Source organism: Homo sapiens, chromosome 4, assembly GCF_000001405.40.
Source record: "Homo sapiens chromosome 4, GRCh38.p14 Primary Assembly".
Taxonomy (NCBI): domain Eukaryota; kingdom Metazoa; phylum Chordata; class Mammalia; order Primates; family Hominidae; genus Homo; species Homo sapiens.
The window spans coordinates 110,870,425-110,878,525 of NC_000004.12; the positions used below are offsets into that span (position 1 = coordinate 110,870,425).

At 40.9% G+C, this 8,101-nt stretch overlaps 1 annotated feature.

Annotated features, from left to right (window-relative positions):
- Positions 5,568 to 6,174: an enhancer, noted in NCBI's record as "H3K27ac-H3K4me1 hESC enhancer chr4:111797148-111797754 (GRCh37/hg19 assembly coordinates)". NCBI's record gives its function as "activates a minimal SCP1, AML or CMV promoter by ChIP-STARR-seq in primed H9 embryonic stem cells {active_cell/tissue: H9 hESC(primed)}" and the evidence as "EXISTENCE:reporter gene assay evidence [ECO:0000049][PMID:30033119]".

The window sequence follows — 8,101 nt, forward strand, 5'->3', positions numbered from 1 at the left end:
CTCAACTGGCACAACTTCAAAACACTTCAGAGGATAGTGTTCCAAAGAGATATTGCAGTGAATCTCCAGTAAGTGCTATACAAATAGATTTAGTGCTGCTCTACAGGAGGTAAAATAAGTCAGGGGAATAGAAAATGAATAAAAACACTAAAACCTCTTGTCAATAAGCTATTGCATGACACAACTAAACTACAGAATTGTAAGGCAACAGTATCCTCCAAATATGAAAATATCTCTGGGAGAGATCAGAGAGGCTGATGGATGGCTCTTCAGCCTCCACTGGACACATATCTGATGAGGACGACTCCCTTCGTTGTGAGGCAGTCAATTTGATTCTTCGACTATTTATTTTTTATTTTTTATTTTTTCAAAGCATATATATATATTTTTTATTAAAGTTTTAGGGTACATGTGCACATTGTGCAGGTTAGTTACATATGTATACATGTGCCATGCTGGTGCGCTGCACCCACCAACTCGTCATCTAGCATTAGGTATATCTCCCAATGCTATCCCTCCCCCCGCCCCCCACCCCACAACAGACCCCAGAGTGTGATATTCCCCTTCCTGTGTCCATGTGATTTCATTGTTCAATTCCCACCTGTGAGTGAGAATATGCGGTGTTTGGTTTTTTGTTCTTGCGATAGTTTACTGAGAATGATGACTTCCATTTTCATCCATGTCCCTACAAAGGACATGAACTCATCATTTTTTATGGCTGCACAGTATTCCATGGTGTATATGTGCCACATTTTCTTAATCCAGTCTATCATTGTTGGACATTTGGGTTGGTTCCAAGTCTTTGCTATTGTGAATAATGCCACAATAAACATACGTGTGCATGTGTCTTTATAGCAGCATGATTTATAGTCCTTCGGGTATATACCCAGTAATGGGATGGCTGGGTCAAATGGTACTTCCAGTTCTAGATCCCTGAGGAATTGCCACACTGACTTCCACAATGGTTGAACTAGTTTACAGTCCCACCAACAGTGTAAAAGTGTTCCTATTTCTCCACATCCTCTCCAGCACCTGTTGATTCCTGACTTTTGAATGATCGCCATTCAAACTGGTGTGAGATGGTATCTCACTGTGGTTTTGATTTGCATTTCTCTGATGGCCAGTGATGATGAGCATTTTTTCATGTGTTTTTTGGCTGCATAAATGTCTTCTTTTGAGAAGTGTCTGTTCATGTCCTTCACCCACTTTTTGATGGGGTTGTTTGTTTTTTTCTTGTAAATTTGTTTGAGTTCATTGTAGATTCTGGATATTAGCCCTTTGTCAGATGAGTAGGTTGCGAAAATTTTCTCCCATTTTGTAGGTTGCCTGTTCACTCTGATGGTAGTTTCTTTTGCTGTGCAGAAGCTCTTTAGTTTAATTAGATCCCATTTGTCAATTTTGGCTTTTGTTGCCATTGCTTTTGGTGTTTTAGACATGAAGTCCTTGCCCATGCCTATGTCCTGAATGGTAAAGCCTAGGTTTTCTTCTAGGGTTTTTATGGTTTTAGGTCTAACGTTTAAGTCTTTAATCCATCTTGAATTGATTTTTGTATAAGGTGTAAGGAAGGGATCCAGTATCAACTTTCTACATATGGCTAGCCAGTTTTCCCAGCACCATTTATTAAACAGGGAATCCTTTCCCCATTGCTTGTTTTTCTCAGGTATGTCAAAGATCAGATAGTTGTAGATATGTGGCGTTATTTCTGAGGGCTCTGTTCTGTTCCATTGATCTATATCTCTGTTTTGGCACCAGTACCATGCTGTTTTGGTTACTGTAGCCTTGTAGTATAGTTTGAAGTCAGGTAGTGTGATGCCTCCAGCTTTGTTCTTTTGGCTTAGGATTGACTTGGCGATGCGGGGTTTTTTTTGGTTCCATATGAACTTTAAAGTAGTTTTTTCCAATTCTGTGAAGAAAGGCATTGGTAGCTTGATGGGGATGGCATTGAATCTGTAAATTACCTTGGGCAGTATGGCCATTTTCATGATATTGATTCTTCCTACCCATGAACATGGAATGTTCTTCCATTTGTTTGTATCCTCTTTTATTTCCTTGAGCAGTGGTTTGTAGTTCTCCTTGAAGAGGTCCTTCACATCCCTTGTAAGTTGGATTCCTAGATATTTTATTCTCTTTGAAGCAATTGTGAATGGGATTTCACTCATGATTTGGCTCTCTGTTTGTCTGTTGTTGGTGTATAAGAATGCTTGTGATTTTTGTACATTGATTTTGTATCCTGAGACTTTGCTGAAGTTGCTTATCAGCTTAAGGAGATTTTCGGCTGAGACAATGGGGTTTTCTAGATATACAATCATGTCGTCTGCAAACAGGGACAATTTGACTTCCTCTTTTCCTAATTGAATACCCTTTATTTCCTTCTCCTGCCTAATTGCCCTGGCCAGAACATCCAACACTATGTTGAATAGGAGTGGTGAGAGAGGGCATCCCTGTCTTGTGCCACTTTTCAAAGGGAATGCTTCCAGTTTTTGCCCATTCAGTATGATATTGGCTGTGGGTTTGTCATAGATAGCTCTTATTATTTTGAAATACGTCCCATCAATACCTAATTTATTGAGAGTTTTTAGCATGAAGGGTTGTTGAATTTTGTCAAAGGCCTTTTCTGCATCTATTGAGATAATCATGTGGTTTTTGTCTTTGGCTCAGTTTATATGCTGGATTACATTTATTGATTTACGTATATTGAACCAGCCTTGCATCCCAGGGATGAAGCCCACTTGATCATGGTGGAGAAGCTTTTTGATGTGCTGCTGGATTCATTTTGCCAGTATTTTACTGAGGATTTTTGCATCAATGTTCATCAAGGATATTGGTCTAAAATTCTCTTTTTTTGTTGTGTCTCTGCCTGGCTTTGGTATCAGAATGATGCTGGCCTCATGAAATGAGTTAGGGAGGATTCCCTCTTTTTCTATTGATTGGAATAGTTTCAGAAGGAATGGTACCAGTTCCTCCTTGTACCTCTGGTAGAATTCGGCTGTGAATCCATCTGGTCCTGGACTCTTTTTGGTTGGTAAGCTATTGATTATTGCCACAATTTCAGATCCTGTTATTGGTCTATTCAGAGATTCAACTTCTTCCTGGTTTAGTCTTGGGAGGGTGTATGTGTCAAGGAATTTATCCATTTCTTCTAGATTTTCTAGTTTATTTGCGTAGAGGTGTTTGTAGTATTCTCTGATGGTAGTTTGTATTTCTGTGGGATCGGTGGTGATATCCCCTTTATCATTTTTTATTGCGTCTATTTGATTCTTCTCTCTTTTTTTCTTTATTAGTCTTGCTAGCGGTCTATCAATTTTGTTGATCCTTTCAAAAAACCAGCTCCTGGATTCATTAATTTTTTGAAGGGTTTGTTGTGTCTCTATTTCCTTCAGTTCTGCTCTGATTTTAATTATTTCTTGCCTTCTGCTAGCTTTTGAATGTGTTTGCTCTTGCTTTTCTAGTTCTTTTAATTGTGATGTTAGGGTGTCAATTTTGGATCTTTCCTGCTTTCTCTTGTGGGCATTTAGTGCTAAAAATTTCCCTCTACACACTGCTTTGAATGCGTCCCAGAGATTCTGGTATGTTGTGTCTTTGTTCTCATTGGTTTCAAAGAACATCTTTATTTCTGCCTTCATTTCGTTATGTACCCAGTAGTCATTCAGGAGCAGGTTGTTCAGTTTCCATGTAGTTGAGCAGTTTTGAGTGAGATTCTTAATCCTGAGTTCTAGTTTGATTGCACTGTGGTCTGAGAGACAGTTTGTTATAATTTCTGTTCTTTTACATTTGCTGAGGAGAGCTTTACTTCCAACTATGTGGTCAATTTTGGAATAGGTGTGGTGTGGTGCTGAAAAAAATGTATATTCTGTTGATTTGGGGTGGAGAGTTCTGTAGATGTCTATTAGTTCTGCTTGGTGCAGAGCTGAGTTCAATTCCTGGGTATCCTTGTTGACCTTCTGTCTTGTTGATCTGTCTAATGTTGACAGTGGGGTGTTAAAATCTCCCATTATTAATGTATGGGAGTCTAAGTCTCTTTGTAGGTCACTCAGGACTTGCTTTATGAATCTTGGTGCTCCTGTATTGGGTGCATATATATTTAGGATAGTTAGCTCTTCTTGTTGAATTGATCCCTTTACCATTATGTAATGGCCTTGTCTCTTTTGATCTTTGTTGGTTTAAAGTCTGTTTTATCAGAGACTAGGATTGCAACCCCTGCCTTTTTTTGTTTTCCATTGGCTAGGTAGATCTTCTCCATCCTTTTATTTTGAGCCTATGTGTGTCTCTGCACATGAGATGGGTTTCCTGAATACAGCACACTGATGGGTCTTGACTCTTTATCCAGTTTGCCAGTCTGTGTCTTTTAATTGGAGCATTTAGTCCATTTACATTTAAAGTTAATATTGTTATGTGTGAATTTGATCCTGTCATTATGATGTTAGCTGGTTATTTTGCTCGTTAGTTGATGCAGTTTCTTCCTAGTCTCCATGGTCTTTACATTTTGGCATGATTTTGCAGCGGCTGGTACCGGTTGTTCCTTTCCATGTTTAGCGCTTCCTTCAGGAGCTCTTTTAGGGCAGGCCTTGTGGTGACAAAATCCTCAGCATTTGCTTATCTGTAAAGTATTTTATTTCTCCTTCGCTCATGAAGCTTAGTTTGGCTGGATATGAAATTCTGGGTTGAAAATTCTTTTCTTTAAGAATGTTGAATATTGGCCCCCACTCTCTTCTGGCTTGTAGGGTTTCTGCTGAGAGATCCGCTGTTAGTCTGATGGGCTTCCCTTTGAGGGTAACCCGACCTTTCTCTCTGGCTGCCCTTAACATTTTTTCCTTCATTTCAACTTTGGTGAATCTGACAATTATGTGTCTTGGAGTTGCTCTTCTCGAGGAGTATCTTTGTGGCGTTCTCTGTATTTCCTGAATCTGAACGTTGGCCTGCCTGGCTAGATTGGGTAAGTTCTCCTGGATAGTATCCTGCAGAGTGTTTTCCAACTTGGTTCCATTCTCCCCATCGCTTTCAGGTACCCTAATCAGACGTAGATTTGGTCTTTTCACATAGTCCCATATTTCTTGGAGGCTTTGCTCATTTCTTTTTATTCTTTTTTCTCTAAACTTCCCTTCTCACTTCATTTCATTCATTTCATCTTCCATCACTGATACCCTTTCTTCCAGTTGATCGCATCGGCTCCTGAGGCTTCTGCATTCTTCACGTAGTTCTCGAGCCTTGGTTTTCAGCTGCATCAGCTCCTTTAAGCACTTCTCTGTATTGGTTATTCTAGTTATACATTCTTCTAAATTTTTTCAAAGTTTTCAACTTCTTTGCCTTTGGTTTGAACGTCCTCCCGTAGCTCAGAGTAATTTGATCGTCTGAAGCCTCCTTCTCTCAGCTCGTCAAAGTCATTCTCCATCCAGCTTTGTTCCATTGCTGGTGAGGAACTGCATTCCTTTGGAGGAGGAGAGGCACTCTGCTTTTTGGAGTTTCCAGTTTTTCTGTTCTGTTTTTTCCCCGTCTTTGTGGTTTTATCTACTTTTGGTCTTTGATGATGGTGATGTGCACATGGGTTTTTGGTGTGGATGTCCTTTCTTTTTGTTAGTTTTCCTTCTAACAGACAGGACCCTCAGCTGCAGGTCTGTTGGAATACTCTGCCGTGTGAGGTGTCAGTGTGCCCCTGCTGGGGGGTGCCTCCCAGTTAGGCTGCTCGTGGGTCAGGGGTCAGGGACCCACTTGAGGAGGCAGTCTGTCCATTGTCAGATCTCCAGCTGTGTGCTGGGAGAACCACTGCTCTCTTCAAAGCTGTCAGACAGGGACATTTAAGTCTGCAGAGGTTACTGCTGTCTTTTTGTTTGTCCGTGCCCTGCCCCCAGAGGTGGAGCCTACAGAAGCAGGCAGGCCTCCTTGAGCTGTGGTGGGCTCCACCCAGTTGGAGCTTCCTGGCTGCTTTGTTTACCTAAGCAAGCCTGGGCAATGGTGGGCGCCCCTCCCCCAGTCTCGCTGCCGCCTTGCAGTTTGATCTCAGACAGCTGTGGTAGCAATCAGCGCGACTCCGTGGGCGTAGGACCCTCCGAGCCAGGTGCGGCATATAATCTCGTGGTGCGTCGTTTTTCAAGCCTGTCGGAAAAGCGCAGTGTTCGGGTGGGAGTGACCCGATTTTCCAGGTGCCCTCTGTCACCCCTTTCTTTGACTCGGAAAGGGAACTCCCTGACCCCTTGCGCTTCCCAAGTGAGGCAATGCCTCGCCTTGCTTAGGCTCGCGCACGGTGCGCGCACCCACTGACCTGCGCCCACTGTCTGGCACTTCCTAGTGAGATGAGCCCGGTACCTCAGATGGAAATGCAGAAATCACCGTCTTCTGCGTCTCTCACGCTGGGAGCTGTAGACCGGAGCTGTTCCTATTCGGCCATCTTGGCTCCTCCCTCCTCTTCAACTATTTTTAATTGGTAAATAATTTTCCTTTCATTGAAGAAATGTCTCTTTCTGTATCTCCTTATGGGTACTAATTCTGCTTGTTGGGGCTATGGGAGCCTCCACGGTCTTGCCCTTCACATTTTAAAAGCTGCCATTGTCTCTCCTTTTAGTCTTCCTTTAGGAAGGTAAATAGACTCAATCTGTTTCACCATTCTCTACATTGCATAATGTTCAGGCCTATGGTGCTGATATCTCTCTGAAAGGATGGCTTCCAGAAAGTGAGCAGATGTGATTTTACAGAGTGTGATAACCTCTCCTGAGTGTGGGTATGTTCTTATTATGTTAGCCTAAGTTTTCATTACTTAAAAATATATCTTCATATTTTTGGATAAAGTTGAGCTAAAGTGAAATAATGTTCACAGTTTTCTTTCATACAAACTATCTCTAACATAAAAGTATAGCAGAATATGCTTGTAAATTAATGTTCTTAAGCTAAATTTAGGCCATTATATTGATCTCTGTTAAATTTTTTTTTTTTTTCATTTCATTGAGGAGAGTTTGAATTTTGATTGTTAAACAAATGAAGCAATAAATCCACCATTTATTGACTCCCTTCCACATGCTAGATGCTGGTGTTAGAAATCACAAAATCTAATGGAAGTTTTATATCATAAACATTTGATAAGGTTATTAAAGAGTTATAATAAAATATGTGACAAGTAGGACACTTGTATATTCTGTAGCCCAGAGAAAGTCTGTGAATTTTTAAAAATAAGTTAAATTATGATTCTTGAATTGAGTACTAATATATGAATAGGAGTTTCTCAGGATAAGTGGGTAAGACTACTATAAACAGGTGCTCAAATATTAAAAATGTACAAATGTGAAAGAGTCAAATAAAAGAAACACTGAAAAGTATTCATTGGAGTTAGCAAGTTCATTGGCAACTTTAAGAGCAGTTTCATTGGAGTCATGACTGCAACAATCAGGTTTCACAGTTAAGATCTGGACACTAAGTAAGGAAAATAGCTTTGAAAAAGCTTGGTTATAAAGTAATTTGCACATGGGAGTGAAGGTGGTGGTTTACAATAGAAGAAACCTGAGTTTGTATGAAAGCTGATAAGCAGCAGCCAGTTAGGAAGAGGGAACCTAGAGGAGCTAGAAGGCACACCTGATAGGGCAAGGATCAATTAGTTTTTGCTGCTTAGTTAACTACTCCAAAACTTTGTGGCTTAAAGCAACACATACTGATTATTTCTCACAAATCTGTAAACTGGGCAGTTATTTCGGTCTCAGCTGCTGAGATGGCCTCTGAGCTCAGCTGGTGGCTTGTCTGGGTTGAATTGTGTAAGAAGATCTCTTACGACTGACAGTTGGCTCAATATCAGCTGAGGCAATGACCAGGCCATGTGTCTATCATCATTCTACAGGCTAGCCTGGGATTATTCACTTGGAGATGGTGGTAGGATTCCCAAGTGCAGCAAGAGAAGGCAAATTTCAATGCCCAAGCTCTTTCCAAAACTCAGTTTGCATCACATTTGCTATTGTCCCAATGGCCACAGCATGTCTCATTGCCAAGTGGAGAATCACCATGTAAGGGTATGGATACTGGGGGATATGGATCATTGGAGATCATTGCTGCTACTGTTTATCATAGTAGAGATGAGATGTCTGTCTTATGAGAAGGGAGGCTTGGACAGACGGAAGGGCATAAT